General features: G+C 39.4%; 1 non-coding gene and 1 pseudogene across 1 annotated transcript; both read right to left on the bottom strand.

Moving 5' to 3' along the window:
- Window positions 1-3808: 3808 nt before the first annotated feature.
- MIR4509-1 (microRNA 4509-1) lies at window positions 3809-3902 on the bottom strand. The gene has a single exon (NR_039732.1). It is a non-coding gene; the product is annotated as a microRNA 4509-1 (primary transcript).
- Window positions 18070-21847, bottom strand: ABCB10P1 (ABCB10 pseudogene 1; annotated as a pseudogene).

The following is a 22182-nucleotide window of genomic DNA, read 5'->3' as shown; positions in this document are numbered from 1 at the left end:
ACTGACTCACTTCTACTGCCACCAATCACTATCCTCCTTTCCTGATTTACTTCCTCGTATGTACCATCTTTTAAAAAACAAATAATTAGGCCGGGTGCAGTGGCTCACGCCTGTAATCCCAGCACTTTGGGAGGCTGAGGCGGGCGGATCACGAGGTCAGGAGATCGAGACCATCCTAGCTAATATGGTGAAACGCCATCTCCGCTAAAAATACAAAAAATTAGCCAGGCGTGGTGACCGGGGCCTGCAGTCCCAGCTACTCGGGAGGCTGAGGCAAGAAAATGGCGTGAACCCGGGAGGCGGAGCTTGCAGTGAGCTGAGATCGCGCCACTGCACTCCAGCCTGGGCGACAGAGGGAGAGTCCGCCTCAAAATAATAATAATAATAATAATTAGTGAAAACTTCAATAACTTTTGCACCGGCCTAATAGTTGTAAAGAAACTATAAGCAAGTTCACAAAAGTTAAAACAAAAAATCAGCTATGAGAAGCAAATATGAATTATACCACTAACTGCTGAAAAGAAAGACTCTAAGACTGAAATTACCAAAAAAAAAAACCCTCAGCTGAAAACAAAACAAATAATCAAACTCTATTACTCTACTCTATTTCCATGAAGCGTACAAACTGTTCCTGTAAGTTTAACGATATTAAAATGTACAAAGATTAATAAAGTAAAAATCAAAGACTATTTATAACATCATCGATTTCACATAAAGTAGAATTTTAAAGGAAAAGGTATCCCATGGAAAACAATAAAATATTTAATATTACAAAGCAAAACACTAAATGAACGTCACATTTAATTGTGAAATCATTAGCATGTTTCTCCGTTATGACTTATTAAAGGATAAAATTTGAGCAATATAATGTATAAGACTTTTTGGCCGGGCGCGGTGGCTCACGCCTGTAGTCCCAGCACTTTGAGAGGCTGAGGCGGGCGGATCACGAGGTCAGCAAATCCAGACCATCCTGGCTAACACGGTGAAACCCTGTCTCTACTAAAAAAATACAAAAAAATTAGCCAGGCGTGGTGGCGGGCACCTGTAGTCCCAGCTACTTGGGAGGCTGAGGAATGGCGTGAACCTGGGAGGCGGAGCTTGCAGTGAGCCCAGATTGCGGCACTGCACTCCAGCCTGGGCAAGAGAGTGAGACTCCCAATCCAAAAAAAAAAGAAAAGAAAAGAAAAGAAAAACCGACTTTCATTAAAGCCTCCTGCAGAAATTTGCATAAGTAACAAGGAGCCAAATGTAATCACCAAGACAATGGGGAAAATGTCTCCAGAACATTAAAGACCTTAACACCTTCACGGCAGCTCTTTCCATCACAGGCTCAAAAGCCTAGTATGGAAAAATGATTTCCTGGAGCAGGTCCAGGTCCCCCTGCTGTGTGCAGCCTTGAGACTTGGTGCCCGGCATTCCAGCCACTCCAGCCATGGCTGGGGTGGGAGACACCAGGCTACAGCTCAGGCCATGTCTTCGGAGGTTGCAGCCCCAAGCCTTGGCAGCTTCCACAAGATGTTGAGCCTGCAGGCGCACAGAAGTCAAGAATTGAGGTTTGGGACCCTCCACCTAGATTTCAGAGAATGTATGGAAACACTTGGATGTTCAGGCAGAAGTTTGCTCTGGTGGGGTGCGGGGGCAGGAGCAGGGGCTCATGAAGAACCTCTTCCAGGGTAGTAGAGAATTGAAATGTGGGCTCTGTCTCCCATACAGAGTCCCTACTGGGGCAATGCCTAGTGGAGCTATGAGAAGAGGGCCGCTGCCCTCCAAACCCCCAATTGGTAGATCCACAAACAGTTTACACTGTGTACCTGGAAAAGCCACAGACAATGCCAGCCAGTGAAAGCAGCCAGGAGGGAGGCTGTACCCTGCAAAGCCACAGAGGCAGAGCTGCCCAAGGCCATGGGAGACCACCACTTGCGTCAGTGTGACCTGCATGTGAGACACGGAGTCAAAGGAGATCATTTTGGAACTTTAACGTTTAATGACTGCCCTATTGGATTTCAGACTTGCATGGAGCCTGTAGCCCCTTTGTTTTGACCAATGTCTCCCATCTGGAACAGGTGTAGATACACTGGGGGTACCCAATGCCTGTACCCCCATTGTATGTAGGAAGTAACTAACTTGCTTTTAGTTTTACAGGCTCATAGGTGGAAGGGACTTGTCTCAGATGAGACCTTGGACTGTGGACTTTTCAGTTAATGTTGAAACGAGTTAAAACTTTGGGGGACTGTTGGGAAGGCATGATTGATTTTGAAATGTGAGAACATGAGATTCAGGAGGCGCCAGGGGAAGAATGATATGGTTTGGCTATGTCCCTACCCAAATCTCATCTTGAATTGTAGCTCCCATAATCCCCATATGTCATGAAAGGGACCCAGTGGGAGGTAACTGAATCATGGGGATGGGTTTCTCCCTGTGTTGTTCTTGTGAAACCGAATAAGTCTCACAAGATCTGATGGTTTTATAAAGGGGAGTTCCCCTGCACATGCTCTCTCTCTTGCCTGCCACCATGTAAGACATGTCTTTGCTCCTCCTTTGCCTTCTGCCATGATTGTGAGGCTTCCCCAGCCACGTGGAACTGAGTCCATTAAACCTTTTTTTCTTTATAAATTACCCAGTCTCAGGTATTTCTTCATAGCAGTATGAAAGTGGACTAACACAGTATCAAACCCTGGTTTGGGGTAATAATCACTACCTTCTAGGTAACCAGAATGGAAAAAATATAACAGAAAAAAAATCCTAAAAATCATCCTGCGTACAAGAAAAATGAAACTGTATGCTGAATTCTCAGGGGGAGAAAACGTATTTAAAAATATATGACTTTCAAACCACAAGAAACTATAGACCATTGCTTTAAACTATTTGTCTATGAACAGTATGTAGAAACACATGGAATTTAGGAAATAGGAGATGAAGGCTACAATAACAAAAGAGGCTCATATCACAAAATGGGAGATAGCTGAGATGAGGCTTCTATGAAAACTAAAGTGCAAGGGCAGATTTTCCATCCACAGGGAAATCCGTGGAGAAAGAAACTGACACACTGAAAAGTTCAAGCAGCAATTGAATCAGAGCTCTGGAGGGCAAAGGAAGAGATGAACTAATGACAGAGAAGAAGGCGGATGGGTATGCCAGAGACCACAGGTTCCACCTCGAGAATAGTTTGTGTACTGGGGAAAGACACAAGGGCAAGGAGATCTGAAACAATAATCAAAGCTATCACTGAAGTACGAATAATAAAAGCACCAACCAGCTTCTAGGCAGGGAGGGGGAAGAAACAAGGAAGAGTTCTCCATATTTAAATAACAACTAGCCAAACTCCTGAATTTTACAAATAAATAAAAAAACTTCCTTAAAAATAAAAAGTCAGGCTTAGATAAGACTTTTTTTCTTCTCTGTTAACATTATTAGAAGACATAAAGATTTTAAGAGAATAAAAATATGATCAAGAGGATCATAAATATCAGGTTGTCTTTACCTGAGTACGAAGCAATGGCATCTGTATATCCAGCACTGATTTGTCCTTCCAATAAAAATTTACTCAAAGACATATGGGTACATATTAGAAAAATAATCAAAATTAATATTTCAAGGATTAGGAAGTTGTGAAGCCAAAATCCTGCAAGGGGACAATTGATTCAGTTAATGGAAAGATTTATTTTTCATATTTTATGATTATTTACCAAAATAATATTTTTAAAGTATAATTATAAAATAAAAATAAAATATTTAACAATACTATAATTATAATCATGTTCCAAGTTATAAAACAAGATAGTGAGAATTGTCAGTAAGATAGTAAGAATTCTAATACTATCTCAAAATAAAGGATACAGAAGGTTTCAGGGCAAGAGAAAGGGAAAACCTTCTATATCCTTTAGTTTGAGATAGTATTAAAGCTTTCTGTAGGCTCACTCAAAATGTCCGGATTCTGACCACATTTGAATGAGCACTCCCAACCTGACGATTCCTAGTCTAAGCCACACATATTTCCTCTTATGGTTATTGCAAAAGCTCCCTAACTGGTCTCCCAGCTTCTGCCGTTGATTCCTTTCAGCTATTTTTTACACAAGTGCCAGAGAAATCTCAGAAATGCAATTCAGATGATATCACTTCTTTGCTTATATCTTTCAATGTTGTTCCCCTCTACGTGTTCATGTATTCTCCCCTTTGACTCTCGCTTCTAAGTGGGAACATTTGGTTTTCTGTTCCTGCATTAGTTGGCTAAGGATAATGGCTTCCAGCTCCATCCATGTTCCTACAAAGGGCGTGATCTCATCTTTTATGGTGGCATAATATGCCATGGTGTATATATACCACATTTTCTTTATCCAGTCTACCATTGATGGGCATTTATGTTGATTCCATGCCTTTGCTACTGTGAATAGCGCTGCAATAAACATATGCATGCATGTGTCTTTATGACAGAACAATTTATATTCCTTTGGGTGTATACCCAGTAATAGGATTGCCGGGTCGAATGGTAGTTCTTTTAGGTCTTTGAGGAATCACCACACTGTCTTCCACAATGGCTGAACTAATTTACACTCCCACCAACAGTGTAGAAATGTTGCCTTTTCTCCACAATATTGCCAGCATGTTATTTTTTGGCTTTTTAATAATAACCATTCTGAATGGTGTGAGATAGTATCTCATTGTACTTCTGATGTGCATTTCTTTAATGATCAGTGATGCTGAGCTTTTTTTCTATGTTTGTTGGCTGCATGTATGTCTTATTTTGAAAAGGAGGGTGAAAGCTGGGAGGAGGGAGAGGATCAGGAAAGACAACTAGTGGGTAGCAGGTTTACCATGTGGGTAACAGAATAATCCGTACAACAAACCCCCATGACACAAGTTTACCTACATAACAAACCTGCACGTGTACCACTGAACTTAAAAGTTAAATTTAAAAAATAAAAAATAAAAAAATCTTTCAATGGTCCCATGTCAGTTTGAGGAACAGCCAAAGTCCTTAAAATGACGTACAAGGTGCTCGTTCCATCATCCGTCTTCTCATGTTTATTTCTCTGCCACCATCTACTAATACTCTTCCCCCTTCTCATTCTACTCCAGCTATAATGGCTTCCTCGATGCTGTTCTAAGAATAAGTCCACATGATTCCGACTCAGGGCTTTTGCCCAAGCTGTGGTCTCTCTTTGGAATGCTCTTTTTTCAGCAGAGCACGATTCCTCCTCATTTCCTTCAAGAAGTCTGTCGCCAAATGCCTTCTACCTGGTGTGTAATTGTCATGTGTGGCAGTTTTAAACATAGTCCAAAAACAGGTTGATATTCTTCTCATCAAAAAATAGGTCTATGTCTCCCTTCCCTAAATCTGGACGTGCTTGTGACTGCTACAATCAATAGAGTATGACAAATAATTCTACCTGACCTTTAAGGTGAGATAAAAAGAGACCAGGCCTTTTCCACCTGGTTCCCTTGGAGTGTTTGATCTGCGGAAAGCCAGCAGCCATATAAGAAGTTTACCCTGTGCAGGCCGGGCGCGGTGGCTCAGGCCTGTAATCCCAGCACTTTGGGAGGCCAAGGCGGGTGGATCACGAGGTCAGGAGATCGAGACCATCCTGGCTAACACGGTGAAACCCCGTCTCTACTAAAAATACAAAAAAATAGCTGGGCCTGGTGGTGGGCGCCTGTAGTCCCAGCTACTCGGGAGGCTGAGGCAGGAGAATGGCGTGAACCCGGGAGGCGGAGCTTGCAGTTAGCCGAGATCGGGCCACACCACTCCAGCCTGGGGGACAGTGAGACTCCGTCTCAAAAAAAAAAGAAAAAAAAAAAGTTTACCCTGTGCAGGCACTATAACTAAGAGTCCTTCCCATCTGAGCCTTGCCTTCCAGACAACTCCACCAATTTATAAGACAGAAAAAAAGCACCTTGCACCTTCCAGACTGACTTGTTTGCCAGCCGACTAGCACTGAGTCACCCTAGTTAATGATGTGAGAGAGGAAGAATCACTCAGATGAATCCTGCTGGAATTTCTCACCTATAGGATCCATGAGATATAATGAAGTGGTCGTTGTTTTACCTTATTAAATTTAGGGTAGTTTCTTTTTTCTTTTTCTTTTTTTTAATTTTTTTTTTTTTGAGACGGAGTCTCCCTCTGTCGCCCAGGCTGGACTGCAGTGGCGCGATCTCGGCTCACAGCAAGCTCCGCCTCCCGGGTTCACGCCATTCTCCTGCCTCAGCCTCCCGAGTAGCTGGGACTTAAGGCGCCCACCACCACCAGGCCAGGCTAACTTTTGTATTTTTAGTAGAGACAGAGTTTCACCGTATTAGGCAGGATGGTCTCGATCTCCTGAACTCATGATCCGCCCGTCTCAGCCTCCCAAACTGCTGGGATTACAGGCGTGAGCCACGGCACCCAGGCCATTTGGGTTAGTTTCTTAAGCAGCAATAGTAACTGTAACACTGACTCACTTCTACTGCCACCAATCACTATCCACTTTTCCTGATTTACTTCTTCCTATGTACCATCTTTTAAAAAACAAATAATTAGGCCGGGCTAAGTGGCTCACGCCTGTAATCCCAGCACTTTGGGAGGCTGAGGCGGGCGGATCACGAGGTCAGGAAATCGAGACCATCCTGGCTAACACGGTGAAACTCTGTCTCCACTAAAAATACAAAAAATTAGCTGGGCGTGGTGGTGGGTGCCTGCAGTCCCAGCTACTCGGGAGGCTGAGGCAGGAGAATGGCGTGAACCCAGGAGGCGGAGCTTGCAGTGAGCCCAGATGGCGCCACTGCACTCCAGCCTGGGCGACAGAGCGAGACTCCGTCTCAAAAAAAAAATAAAAATAAAAAATAAATAAAAAAAGATTTTTAATATATATATACAAGAATATGTGAAACAGTATGTTTTCAAGTTTCCATTGAATATTTTAAAAATAGATTATATAAAACCTCAATATATTTTTTAAAATAAAAACCACACAGGTCACATTACCTACTCAAAATTTAATTACATTAGAAATTAAGACAAAGTTAAAACAGGACAACCAGCACCCCTAGTATCACCCTCCTCAGAGTATTTAAAAATAGATTCCTTTAAATTATCTCTTTTTTTACAAGAATAAAATCTAATCAATTATTAGAAAGATAATCTCAAACTGAACTCAAAAGAAGAAGCAAAGCATCTTCAAAGTCAATAAGGGTGCTATAAATGCTTCTTGGACTCTGAAACTCTCTGACTTCCCATTCTACTCTCAGTTGTAGAAAACTCCCTGATTGTTAGGTTTTGGTGTGATTAGGTTAGGTTTACCCAGGTACTCCCCCCGTCTTAAGGCTGACGGATTATTAGCCTTAGTGACATGTGCAAGACTCCTTTGCCGTGTGAGGTATCAACAGGGTAACATGAGGAAATGAAGGTCATAGGGGCTATCTTAGACTTCTTCCTGCTACAACCTCTATTCACTTATTTTGAATCCTCAGAGTTTAATGAGCTCCTACTATGTTCTAGGTCCTTGCAATAGGAGTACAGCAGTGAACAAGACAAACATGGTTCTGGTCCTTGGAGTACAAAGTAAATGCTGAAAATTTAATAAATGGGTCAGTAGATAGATAGATGTATAAAGGTCTAAATGCACATTCAGAAAATAGCAGGAGAAGACTGAGACTCAGTATTATTGAATATGCTTTAAAGGCCCATGTGTCGTCTTGAATGAAAATGTTGCTCAATTTCTGATGAGGAGACTAATTCATCAATATCTGTTATCATTGACTGATGACCTCACATAATAAAAGATCTTGACTTGAGTGTACGTTAATAATCAACATAATGGGTAATGTATCAAAAGAGTATATGGAAGATAATAAAAAGATATAAATTGAAATCTTAAACAGTTTTGTGCTAAAATATGTTTAGAATTGCTTGAACCCAGGAGGCGGAGGTTGCAGTGAGCTGAGATTATGCCACTACACTCCAGCCTGGGCAACAAGATCCAACCTCCGTCTCAAACAAACAAACAAACAAACAAACAGAAACAACCCAAACAAACACAAAAAATTACTATAATTGTATCTCTTTTGACTATAGCCTGGAAGAAATCACTCTCTCCCCAACTTAAGGAAGGGGAGACTTATCTCTAGCCAAGCTTTGAGTATAAACATATAAAAAGTAATTTTCATTTTCTTGAAACTGACTGCATGAAAAGGCATATGGTGTTCCCAAAAAATGTCTGATGAGTGAGAATATTAAAATGACTAAACTGATGGGACATATTTAATTTAATATTTAAACTTGATAAAAAATAGTTAAGCATTTAACTCAAGAATTTCAAAATGGTACAGCAAAGCATACAAGCAAAATTAAAAGGAATGCTAATTACATATTAAGTTAGAAGGCAATAAATTATAAACAAAAACAGTAACAATTTATAAACATACACAAGTTCATTCTTTAACAAATAACCCATGATACAGAAAAATACAGCAAATGTGATAAAACAAAAACTGAGAAAACATAAAATTTAAAGTGAAAAAAAAAACAAAACATGCAGAAATTGTTTTAAAGACAAAAAATACTATCTTAGAAAATTAAATACGTGTTTCACTAAAATAAACATGTACTGCTTAAATGAATCTTAATTTAATTTTAAAAATAGTAAATAGGTTGCAGGCATCAATGTTTGCAAGAAATGTAAAACATTATTTTAAAAATTTTTATTAAAGTCCCTATAACCAGTGTTTTTAATAAGCATCTGTTTAAAACATCTTGTAAAATGGACCCCAGACTAGGAAATATGGATAAAGTTATAAAAAGTGGCTTCCTTTCAGTTCATTTTACAAAGCAAATATAACTATTACTAACTCTTGATGAAGTGAATACAAAAAGAATAAAATTACTAAACAGTATCCCTTATAAACATAGTTAAAATATTCTTAACTGAAAGAAAAAGGAACTGAATTCTACACTTACTAAGAAATCACCCACCCCAGTGATTTGGCATACAAAGATTTAATACTAGAAAATATGTATTAATATAATGCAACACAACAATAAAGCTATTTACCTTATATTGTACATTTACTGCTACAGACTAAATGTTTACATCCCTCTCAAATTCATATGTTGAAATGCTAACCGCCAGTGTGAGGGTTTTTGAAGGTGGGGCTTTTGGGAACTAATTAAGTCATGAGAGAGCAGCCCTCATTAATGGGTTTAGCACCCTTCTAAAGCAGCCCCCTGAACTCCCTTGCTCCTTCCCCAACTGAGGTTATAGAGAAAGGGCAGCCTTCTTTGAACTAGAACAAAAGTTTTTCCCAGACACCAGATTGGCTAGTACCTTGGTCTTAGATTTCCCAGACCCCAGAACTGTGAGAAATTCCTTTCTGTTGTTTATAAGCCACCAAGTCTATGGTATTCTGGTACAGCAGCCCATTTTTGATATTTATTTAATGATATTTAACATGCATGACTGATGAAATTTAACAAAGTAGTTATAGATATGTCCTTACCATGATTAAAAATAACTCTTAAATTGATGCATACTTTTATTATCTAGTTCTAGCCAAAGCCATAAGATGAAAACACAAATAAGAAACCACCTATATGGCACATGTATACCTATATAACAAACCTGCATGTTCCGTGCATGTATCCCAGAACTGAAAATCATATTTTAAAAAAATTTATTTATATAGAAAAAAAGAGAGCAAATGATATTTTTCAAAAACTGATAATTTAATTATGGTAAGTTCTGTGTGATATGTGCCTGATATGTGTGATATGTGTCTGATGTGATATGTGTGAGATGAAAAACACTAAGGGGGTATGTGATTTTGGGCATTCATGTGCCCATAAATCCTTGTTAGAATTAAAATATCACATTAAACCTCTCTCTTTCTTTTAATGTCCATGGTTTCTTTTATATGTTTTAGTAAGTGACACAGAGGAAAATACCGAGCGGACACCGTTTCTAAATTGGTAAACTGCCCTGAACTGCCACTTTACTCTTTTCTACAGCAAGTGTGGAAGATTAGAGTTCAGGCAAACATGTCATGTAAGTGGTGAAGATTCCCTTTTTCCACTGGGACAGCAGTAGAACTGAAGGGAAATCAGACAACAGCTACCTCAGCAGGAGAGCCTCAATGATGACACTTTTGCCTCAACAGTGGAAGCTGGTAGTTTCCAAAAATAGAGCTAAAAAGTGAATCAAGTTTTAAAGCACATTGAAAGTCACACGTAAAATTCATTATTACAGAAAAGCTATAAACCAATCACAGTAAATGAGTGAATTTAGAAATTAAATTTTAATATGAAAGGTTCATGTTGTCAAAACTGACTATGTTAGTCCATCTCAATGCTATAAAGGAATACCTGAGACTGGGTAATTTATAAAGAAAAGAGGAGTATTTGGCTGATGGTTTGCAGGCTGTACAAACAGGCCACCAGTATCTGCTCAGCTTCTGCTGAGGCCCGGGAAGCTGACAATCATGGCTTAAGGCAAAGGGGGAGCTGGCATATTACATGGGGAGAGAGGGAGCAAGGGAGATGCCAGGCTCTTTTAAACAACAAGATCTCTCGTGAATTCATAGAGCAAGAACTCACTCATTACCGGGAGGACAGCACAAAACCATTCATGGGGATCCACCCTTGGGAAACAAACACCTATTACTAGGCCCACCTCCAACACTGGAGGTCGCATTTCAACATGAGATTTGGAGGGGACAAACCATCCAAACCATATCACTAACGGAAAGTGATTGTTTAAATTGCTGTATTCAGTCCCTTGGCCTTTTTGAGAAATGCCATTCATTTCAGCCATCAAGCAAATTATTATTTGAGACATTTATACCTCTTCATCCTTTAAAAGTTTCAGAAGCATGAATTTAAAAAGTATTCATTGTAAATTTGAGGCTAGTCAAATTGATGTGGCATCTAAGTAGCACGGTGACGGGATGAGGAGACAAAGTCACGAGGGGAGGTAGGAAGAAGCAGAGAGAAAAAGAGAAATAGGAAGAGAGAAAAAGAAATGAGAGAGTATAAGAAAAATGAAGAAAGAGGAAAAGAAAAATGGTTTAAATGAGAGGCAAATGTCATCTGATGTTTTACCATGGGGCCATAGGGTATTTGAAGTTTCAGAAAATTCATAAGTTATTAAAAAATGTGACTCTAGGGTAGTGAGGTTATAACTTGTAAGAAAACAAGAAGTGATTCCTTTTAAGAGAACCTTCTTGGCCGGGTGCTGTGGCTCACGCCTGTAATCCCAGCACTTTGGGAGGCCGAGGCGGGTGGATCACGAGGTCAGGAGATCGAGACCATCCTGGTTAACACAGTGAAACCCCGTCTCTACTAAAGATACAAAAAATTAGCTGGGCGCCGTAGCGGGCACTTGTAGTCCCGGCTGCACGGGAGGCTGAGGCAGGAGAATGGCGTGAACCCGGGAGGCGGAGTTTGCACTGAGCAGAAATCGCGCCGCTGCACTCCAGCCTGGGGAACAATGGGGAACAAAGCAAGACTCCGTCTCAAAAAAAAAAAAGAAAAAAAAGAAAAAAGAAAAAGAGGAACTTCTTAAAGATGCGGTTGTCTTTCTTATGCTTCCTTTAGCTCTTTTTTACCTCTCCACGGATACAGATTTTTATACCAAATAGCTGGCATTAGCTAAACCAATGTCTAGGAGAACTGATCCTCACGAAGGAAAATCATAATTTATTATTTTTTTAATTCATGGCATTTATTTGTACAAGAAATATATTTCTATTTAAGAGAAAGTAGAAAACAAAGGAGAACAGAAACAACTTTTTTTTTTTTTTTTTTTTGAGACAGAATCTCGCTCTGTCGCCCAGGCTGGAGTGCAGTGGCACGATCTCAGCTCACTGCAAGCTCTGCCTCCCGGGTTCACGCCGTTCTCCTGCCTCAGCCTCCCGAGTAGCTGGGACTACAGGCGCCCGCCACCACGTCCGGCTAATTCTTTTGTATTTTTAGTAGAGACGGGGTTTCACTGTGTTAGCCAGGATGGTCTTGACCTCCTGACCTCGTGATCCGCCCGCCTCAGCCTCCCAAAGTGCTGGGATTGCAGGCGTGAGCCACAGCGCCCGGCCGAAAAAACTTTTTAAAATTTGTTTGGGGATCTCCCATATTTGCCAAAGTAATCCCACAAAAACAATTAACATTTGACTTTGAAAATTAAGACAAAAAATACAATGATGAATATTTTCTTGTAAAAGCAAAGACAGTAAAAATATTCAGATTTAAAATAAGCCTGAGAAAAAGCATGATTTCCTTGAGCTTACCTAAGTAAACTTATTTACAAGTGACTGTATCAATAATTAGCAAAAGTAAAAGTCATTATGAAATCCTCCAAATCTTTCAAAGTAAAGTACTATCTTACATTCAAGCATTGAGTTTGCCCATAAAATTATTTAAGCTCAACCTTTTCCTCAATCTCCAAAACTCTGGCGTGTAACTACACAAACACTTCAATAGGGGACAGAATCTCCTTTTATCATTCATTCTACCAAACATCAACTTCATAAGAATTAGAATCAAGTGTAATAAGAATGAACTATATAGAATCATTGATATAAATTTATAGGTGTTCAGACATAACCTTTAGACATATTTGTCAGTGTACATGTAAACAATACTCAATAACTTCTTTAATAGAGTTCTCCAGAGAAACAGAACCAATTGGATGTGGGTATATAACTCAGTTATATATTTCATCAGCTTCCTTTTTATGTAATAGAAACTAACTACAGCTAATGATGAATTTTTTTCATTCATTCATCATTAAAAGGGGAGAGAGAAATCCAGGCTGGGTTTGTGCCATTTTTCTTCCCTCACAGTTCTCTTCTTGCTGCATGATTCTTCCTTTCAGATATTAACCAGAAGGAATGGTTAGCCTGACTATAGCTCTAGAGGAGCAACACAGGCTCTGGATAATGAGGATGCACAGGCTTTAATCAGTCCTAGCAGGAGGTCTTGGCTTAGACAACTATGTAGTTGATGGTATCCCTATAGGAAAAAAAAAAATATATATATATATGTTTTTGTGGTAGCAGGACAGAGTCAGTTTCAGACATTTGTTCAACAACTGTTGGTGTTCAACATATATTAGTATTTTGCACTAGGTACTATGTGCTAAAAGTATAGTAAGGAATAAAAATAGGGAAATAAACAAAAACAAAATAAAGAAACAGAGAAAATTCCTATTACCCTTTAGGAAAAACAACATAAAATAAAGTAACAGAATCTAGAAATAGAGAATAACAAGATAGAAGCCTACTATATACCACCATTATCAACCTGTCAAAATAAACATTGTCAGTAATGAGACAAAATGGAATCATGTACCACCTGATAGGATGCAATGAAAAAAACGCAGCATCAATTCTGTGATATTCTTGCCAAAATGCATTGCCTGACTCTAGTCACAAGGAAACCTCAGAAAACCTAAAGGGAGCCATTCAAAAAAGAAGGAAGGGAAAAGGAAAAAGTAAGGGAAAGAGGAGAGGAGAAGGAAGGGGAGGGGGAAGGGAAGGGGAGAGGGAAGAGAAAAAGGAAGGGGAAAGCGAAGGAGAAAGGAAAGGAGAAAAGGAAGGAGAAGCAAAGCAAAGGAAAAAAAGAAGAAAATATGGGCCAGAAATCTTGGTTAAGTTAGGTCTAAAGATCTATTCTTGATACAAGGACATTAAAAAGACATGACAATGAAAGGCAATGCATGATTCTGAACTTGATCCTTTTGCTATGAAACATTATTGGGACTATTGGTGAATTTTTTTTTTTTTTTGAGACGGGGTCTCCGTCTGTCGCCCAGCCTGGAGTGCAGTGGCGCGGTCTGGGCTCACTGCAAGCCTGGCCTCCTGGGTTCACGCCATTCTCCTGCCTCAGCCTCCCGAGTAGCTGGGACTACAGGCACCCACCACCACGCCCGGCTAATTTTTTCCTTTTTTTTTTTTGTATTTTTAGTAGAGACGGGGTTTCACCGTGTTAGCCAGGATGGTCTTGATCGCCTGACCTCGTGACCCATCCGCCTCGGCCTCCCAAAGTGCTGGGATTACAGGCGTGAGCCACCGTGCCCGGCTGACTATTGGTGAAATTTTAATGCGGACTTGATAATTAGATGTAGCAATATATTAATATTAATTTTCTGGTTTTGTTCGTTGTACTGTGCACGTATTGCATTTGGGGGGGCACATATATTACTGTAATAGATTTGTAATATATAGAATTATATATATGTATATACATATATAGACACAATTGTGTTTGTAGAAAATATATATGAAAGCAAGGTTTTTCAACTTTGGCACTATCGCTTCTGACATTTGGGCCACATAATTCTTTGTTGGGGGCATTTCCTGTGAATTGCAGGATGTTTAGCGACTTGGTTTGCCTTTAATAACTAAATGACAGTAGCATCCTCCTCACACCTTTCCCCAGGCTAACAACTAAAAATATCTTGAGATATTATCAGATGTTTCCTGGAGGGCAAAACTCCCCCTGGTTGAGAATCAGTCTACTAAAGTATTTGGAGATGACAGAGCATCAGGTTCGTTTCTATATATTATTAAAGTATCTTTCAAAGTTGAAGGTAAAATTAAGACATTTTCGGAAAAATTAAATGGGCCAATTTGTCACCAGCAAATCTGTACTACAAAACATGCTAGCAGAAGTTTTTTGGCCTGAAGGGAAATAACATCGAATCTAAACTCCAGATTAGAGGAAATGAAAAGCATAGAAATGGTAAGTATATGAGTAACAGGAAATACTTTTTTTTAATCTGTCGATTTTGTTGAAGGGAAACTGACTATTTAAATTTAAAAAGATATCATTTTATTGTGGGGTTTATGATGTGGATAGAAAAACTTATACTAAAAAAAATCACAAAAGACAGAGGGGGAATAAAGGAAATGTTACCGTCATCAGTTTTTGTTGTTGTTGTTTTGGGTTTTTTTAATAGACTTTATTTTTAGGGCAGTTGTAAGTTCACAGCAAAATTGAAAGAAAGATACAAAGATTTCTCATACATCATTGTGTCCACACAGGCACAGCCTGACCCCTTGCTGTCATTCTCCTCTGGAGTGGCACATTACTTACCGCTGATGAACCTGCACTGGCACATCCTTATCACCAAGGTCCATAGTTATATTAGGGTCCACGCTTGCTGTCATACATTCTATGAGTTTAGGCAAATTCATATACCAGTATAGTATCATGCAGAATAGTTTTCTGCCCTGAAAGTCTTCTGTGCATATGAATAGGATAGGTGGAGCACAGATCACTTTTTAGGAAAATGTTGCCTTGTTTTGATTTGACAAAGTAGGCAACACTATCAATCACTGGAGAGAATGTAAAAATAGAACAGATGTCATCAGTTTTTTACATTATATATGAAGTTGTCAAAAATTACCTCGAAGTAAAATTTAGATTAGTTAAGTATAAATTGATGATTATTGTAATACAAATAACTCAATACAAAAAAGCGTTGCAACTAACTCATCTATGCAATTTAAAATGAATACTTAAAATACAATTAAACAAAAATACGAGAAGAGAAACAAGAGATTGTACAGTTTTTAAAAGTGGCAACACATTTCATTTAACATATTTATGAACTAAATTATTCAATTACAAGGTAGAGACTGTCATATTAGACAAAAGAATGAGACCCAACTAATGTTGTCTACCAGAAACATATATTAAACATAAAGACACAGATAGATGAAAAGTAAACCTACAAGAAAAGATAAACCATATACACAGCAAGCATTAGGAAGCTTGTGTGGCTATATTAGCAAAATGCAATGTAGACTGGAAAAGAGGGTGCATTATAAGAGAAAATGGGGGCATTTCATAATTATGAAATAACCAATTCATCGGAGGACAATAATATAAGCAATATTATTGTCCTCCGATGAATTGGTTATTATATTATTGTCCTAATATGACATATATGTCCATAATTATGAAATGCCCCCATTTCATAATTATGAAAGGGACACCAACTTAATAATAAAGCCTCATAATTCATGAAGGAAAAAGCAGAATTGAAGGGAGAAATGGATAAATGACAATAATAATTAAAGATTTTAACATCCCTCTGTTCATCACTGATTGAACAGTAAGACAAACCATTCGTATGGCTATAGAACATTTCAACTTCATTATAAATCACCTTGATCTTATTGACATTTATAAAAACTACATTTCAAATGCTGAATATACGTTGTTTTCTTGTGTATTGAAAGCACCACCAACATAGGCCAAATGCTGAATCAAAGAGTAAGTTTAAATGAATTTAAGCTTTAGATTTTATAGAATATATTCTCTGATCACAATAAAATTTAATTTGAAATCGATGACATAAGAGATTCCTAGGAAACCCCCAAATAGTTGTAAATAACATGAAACACTATTTAACTCATAGTTCATAAAAGAAATCAAAAGATAATTTAGAAAAAATATGAAATAAGGAAAACAGTATATTAAATAAACATCTGCACCTAGATGTTTATTGCAGCACTATTCACAATAGGCAAGATATGGAATCAACCTAAGGGTCCAGCAACAGATGATGGTTAAAGAAAATGTGGTATATAGGCCGGGCACGGTGGCTCACGCCTGCAATCCCAGCACTTTGGAAGGCCAAGATGGGTGGATCACTGGAGGTCAGGAGTTCGAGACTAGCCTGGCCACCATGGTGAAACCCCATCTCTACTACAAATATAAAAATTAGCTGGGCATGGTGGCACGTCCCCAGCTACTCGGGAGGCTGAGGTGGAAGATCACTTGAATCCGAGAGGCAGAGGTTACAGTGAGCCAAGATCACACCATTGCACTCCAGAGCAAGACTCCATCTCAAGAAGGGAAAGGAAGGAGAGGGGAGGGGAGAGGAGGGGAAGGGAGGGGACAGGAGGGGAAAAGGAATAGATACACAATGAAGTACTATTCGGCCATAAAAGCAACGTGCATAGAAATGGAGTGTATTATGTGAGTGAAATGAGCCAAGAAGAGAAAGTTAAACATTACAGCTTCTCACTCATATGTGGAAGCTAAAATATTTTGATCTTATAGAAGTTAAAACAGAGGATGCTAGAGGCTGGAAAGTATAAGAGGGAGGGAGGGATAGGGAGAGATTTGTTAAAAGATTCAAAATTAAAGCTAGATAGGAGGAATAAGTTCTAATGCTCTATACCATTATGGTATGACAATAGTTAACAATAATATATAGCTTCAAATAGTTAGGAAAGGATATTGAATGTTCCCAAAACAAAGAAATGATAAATGTTTGCAATGATGGATATGCTAATTACCATCACCTCATCAGGGTAATTAAATATATACACTATGAGTACTGAAACATCACTATGTACCCATAAATATGCACAATTATTATGTGCCAATTAAAAAAATAAAATAAAACAAAATTATGATAATAAAAGCTTCATATTTGTGGTGTAGAGTTAAATTGAGAGGGTAATTTATTATTTGAAATTCTTCTATTAGAAAAATACATAGGTTTAAAAGTCAATGAAAAAATAAACAAATAAAACGTAATTTGAAAAAATAAAATAACAGGTAATGAAAGAAATAAATGAAATTGAAAGTAAATAAATTCACAAAGTGAAAAGTTCCTTTGAAAAAATCAGTAAAGTTGTTACATACTAGTAAGACTAAGAAAAAAGGACTGATAAAAGAAGAAATATCATTACAGAACCTCTATATTTAAATGATAATAACTATTATGAACAATTCCATACTCAAGAATTTGGCAGCTTAAAGTTCTTTAAAGAGACAAATTACCAAAGCTTATTTAAGAACAAATTCATAATGTGAATTTTTCTGTATCTATATGTATCCATATAGTCTAGGTTTTCTAATTTCTGGCCTATGGTTGCTCATAGTAGCCTCTAATGATCCTTACAATTTCAACAAAGAAATTCAGAAGAAATTGAAAAATTTATTGAAGCAGATAAAAACGGCAACACAACATACCAAAACCTATGGGATACAGCAAACAGCAGTAGTAAGAGGGAAATTTATACCTATAATTTCCAAGATCAAAAAAGTGAAAAACCTCAAATAAATAACCTGATGATACATCTTTTTTTAAGGTCACTATAAATTTTAATCTATGATATAAAATATTACCTACAGATATAATTGAACATCAGGTATCAGAAAATAAAACATAACAATGAAATGCAATTTTGTAAATACTTCTATGGTACAAGCATTATTTTCCTCAGATTCAACCTTTTAATTGTGTTTTGTTTGCTTTCTGAAAATCACACTTTATAAAGAACACAAGTAGAGCTTGTTAAAATGATTGTCACAGATGTACTGTTTACTAATTCAAAAAATACTACATTCATTCGCTCATATCAATTTTATTCATTAATTATGAAGAAGAAAATATAATATTCCATGCTTGTCATGAAATAGCGGTTTCTTCTTCCAGTCTAATCAGGGAACTAATAAATGCTTAGTTCATGGCAAAACTTCCATTTGATTTACATTGACTTAATTACCTCTTAGGGTCTAGCCTCATCAATGGAGAAAAAGCACTTTTTCTTGAGGCAACAGCACATTAACAGCACTGAATACAAAATATGGCAAATTCAATGGCTGTCAGCATTGCTTTAGGAATTTTGAGACTATAAAAAAACTATAACCATGAATAAAAGAAAAGGGCTTATTAATATCTTCTTTTTGGGAGAGTGATACATTCTGAAGGTTTCTTGTTATTCTGTTGAATAGCAAGGACTTCCAAACTTAAGTGTCTTAAGGCTGAAAATTAGTTACATTCCTCAGATTTTAGCCTTATTAATGAAATTCCAAAAGTATTATAAGATTTAGTATGTCTTGAAATTATAAATTTGTAACAGATATTTTTCAAAATACATGCCTTCAAACAACTTAAATGCAAAAATCATTCATTCTTAATAATACCTAGCAGTTCATCCCTTGCTTCCCAGAAGTACTCATACAAACATGTGAATTTAAAAAATAGATTTTTCTGTTCAAAAAATAAAGCTTCTGCCCTTTTAAAAACTTGTCAGGCTTTCATTTGCCAAAATGTTGAAAACTGCACATATTCAAACATAGTTCCCGTAGGAACACATATTCCTCAACTCTCACACCTTTGAAGACACAGGAGACGGGCAATATAAATGTTCCCTTCTTTCCAGCTGATGTTAAATAGTTAGGTTTGCTTCATGAGATTATCGGAATAAAGGGTTAAATTTTCATTTTCCATTACTCTATCTAGTAAAATTAGACTTAAAGTAGGTAGAATACTACCAGAGGAATTACACAGTGATTGGCAAACTGGCCTAAAATAATCAGGCTTTTTATTTATACTTCCCTTTTTAAAGTTGTCATTTGACAACAGCTTCCATCTTTAACAGCAGGCAAAAGAAAATGAGGTGCCATGCTATATTAATTAAAATATTCCACAATGAAAGAAAATACAAAACCTGAAAATAACTTCAGTGCTATAGACATTTAAAAAGTTACAATGGTTAAAACTCTGAATAAAAAGATCTTGAGAACAGGTACATTTCAAAGCAATATTTTACACGCTTTGGAAAAAATAGCTATTTTTCAAATAACTTGATATATGGTTTACATATTTCATGCAGTCTCTGAGGTTTTTTTTCTCTACAATACTGTTTTGCATTAAAGTCTCTCATGTTGTTTACCAGTAATTGTTTCCTTAGGCTGAAATAAAACTTTGCTTGTTCATTAGTTTTCTGTATATCCCATTTGGTTTTGAAAGCAGCTCTTCGTGTTTTCCATATTCAGTAATTTTTCCTTGGTCAAGAACAGCAACCATATTAGCATTCTTAATGGTGGAGAGATGATGGGCAATAACTAACGCTGTTCTTCCATCCATCAGTGGATCTAGAGCTTCTTGAACAAGGTACTCATTTTCAGCATCCAGCGCACTGGTTGCTTCATCTAGGAGAAGAATTTTGGGATTCTTCAGCAGAGCACGGGCAATTGCAATCCGCTGTTTCTGCCCACCTGAGAGGAGAACACCCTTTTCTCCAACCACAGTGTTGAACCCTTGGGGGAAATTCCGGATCAAGACCACTGCATTGGCCACTTCAGCCACTCTCTGGACTTGCTCAGCGGTCACAGAGGAAGGCCATCAGCACCATAAGCAATGTTCTCAGTGATAGAGCAAGAAAACAAAATGGGTTTCCTGTCTCACTGTCCCAATCTTGGATCTCAGCCACACTGGGTTTAGCTGACGGATGTCATGGCCATCAAGACTGATAGTTCCAGAAGCAGGGTCGAACAACCTCAGCAGGAGCGAAAGCACTGTTGATTTGCCAGAACCACCTGGGCCAACCAGTGCCGTGACAGATCCTGACGGAATGGAAAGGCTGAAATCCTGAAATATGGGCGCCTCTGGGCAAGCGGGATCGGCAAAATGCACGTTCTTAAACTCCAAAGCACCCTGGAAGCTTTTCTCATTTAAGATAACCCTTCCCCCTCCTTAAAAGGCAGATTGGGCTCTCTCTCCAGGAGCTCCCAGAGGCGCCCCCCGGCACCCAGTCCTTTCATCAGCTCCGAGTAGAAAAAGCTCAGACCTCCAATGCTTATTCCAACCCCGAAAGCATACATAGGAAGGAAGAGAGTTCACCCATGGTCATGTGGGCACTGCCCATCAGCAGCCCCCCTTTGTACAGGACAGAAAGCACAATCAGGTTTCCGGACAGCCTAGTTCTCCAAAGAAGCCAGCCTGAGCGAATGCCGCTTTCCTTGCTGACTACATCACATGGTCCACTTTGCTGGCCTATTTTTCTATTTCAGTCATTTCTTTCCCAAAAGCTCGAACAGTTCTTAACATTTCCAATACGTTCCTCCTGAGTGGCTTGTGCCAGCGAATCCTGGGTGACTTTGGTCAGTTTCCGTAGATATCGTCCATAAATTACATCAATGATTGACACTAGAGGCACCACACTCACAACAAAGGTGGCCCGATTAGGTGAGACACAAAACATCGTCCTGATGCCTACAGAAGCCCGGGCCCCGGCCCTGAGCCCATCTGAGAGGTTTTCAGTCACTGAGCGCCCCAGGAGTGCAGTGTCCGATGAGAGGCGGTTAATCAATTCCCCTGTGCCAGCCTTGTCAGAGAAAGCAACCTCCTGCCCCAGAATGGAGGAGAATAACGAAGTTCTCAGCCTCTTCACAACGCGCTGACGTGAAGTTTGCATGAGGTAGACACGAATGGCATTGGCGGCAGCACCACACAGAAACACGCCACTGAGGCCAAGGCAGAGGCGGGTCAGGTTGTCGCTGTAGTCCACAGTGGGGTTGGTATAGATGGCATCGATGATCTTCCCCAGGAAGAAAGGGGCAGACATGGAGATAACACCGGACATCGGAGAAATCCAACCGCAGCTGCCAGCCTCTGGCGCTCAGGGAACTCCAGCCCCAGGAGCTTCCCGGCCTCCGAGAGTCCGGGCGCCATGGGTCGTAGCCGCTGGTCGTCCCGGGAAGGCGCCGCCCGCCCGCTCCGCCAGGCCTCCTCCCCTGCCCAGGCAGTGGCGGTGGGACCGCCCGGGAACCCGGCGCGCGGGAGCCGAGGAGCGCCCGGCCGGCAAGAGCCCCGCACCTGCAGCTGCCGGGCCCAAGCCCACAGCCCCGGGAGCCGTCCGAGGCCCGCGTGGCCCCCCGAGCCGCCCAGACCCCCGCCCCGGCAGCAGCTCCTCCAGCGGCGCGCGGCTCCAACGCCCCAGAGCAGCGCCGGCCCCGCGCCCCATAGCCGCGCCAGCCTCGGGGCAGTGAAGGGCGATATGGACTGGGGGCGCGGCTGGCCGGGGCCCACACACAGGCTACCGGCAGGAGCCGCCCTGGCTCTGCGGGGCCCGTGGCGCCGATACATCTTAAAAGAACTAGAAAAGCAAGAATAAACCAGACCCAAAATAAGTATAGAAGAAAGGAAAGAATAAAGATAAGAGCAAAAATTAATGAAATTGAAATGAAAAAATACAAAATATGAACAAAACGAAAAGTTCGTTTTTTAAAAAAGATAAACCAAACCAGTAACCTTTAGCCACACTAAAAAAAAAACAAAAAACCCTAAATAAATAAAATCAAGATGAAAACGGGGACATTTTCATTGATACTGTAGAAATTCTAAGGATCATTAGAGGCTAGTATGAGCAACTATAGACCAATAAATTAGAAAATCTAGAATAAATGGATAC

The sequence above is a fragment of the Homo sapiens genome, chromosome 15, assembly GCF_000001405.40.
Source record: "Homo sapiens chromosome 15, GRCh38.p14 Primary Assembly".
NCBI classification, from domain to species: Eukaryota; Metazoa; Chordata; class Mammalia; order Primates; family Hominidae; genus Homo; species Homo sapiens.
Note: the sequence above shows the minus strand (reverse complement) of the source record. Positions and strands in the feature narration are given on the sequence as shown.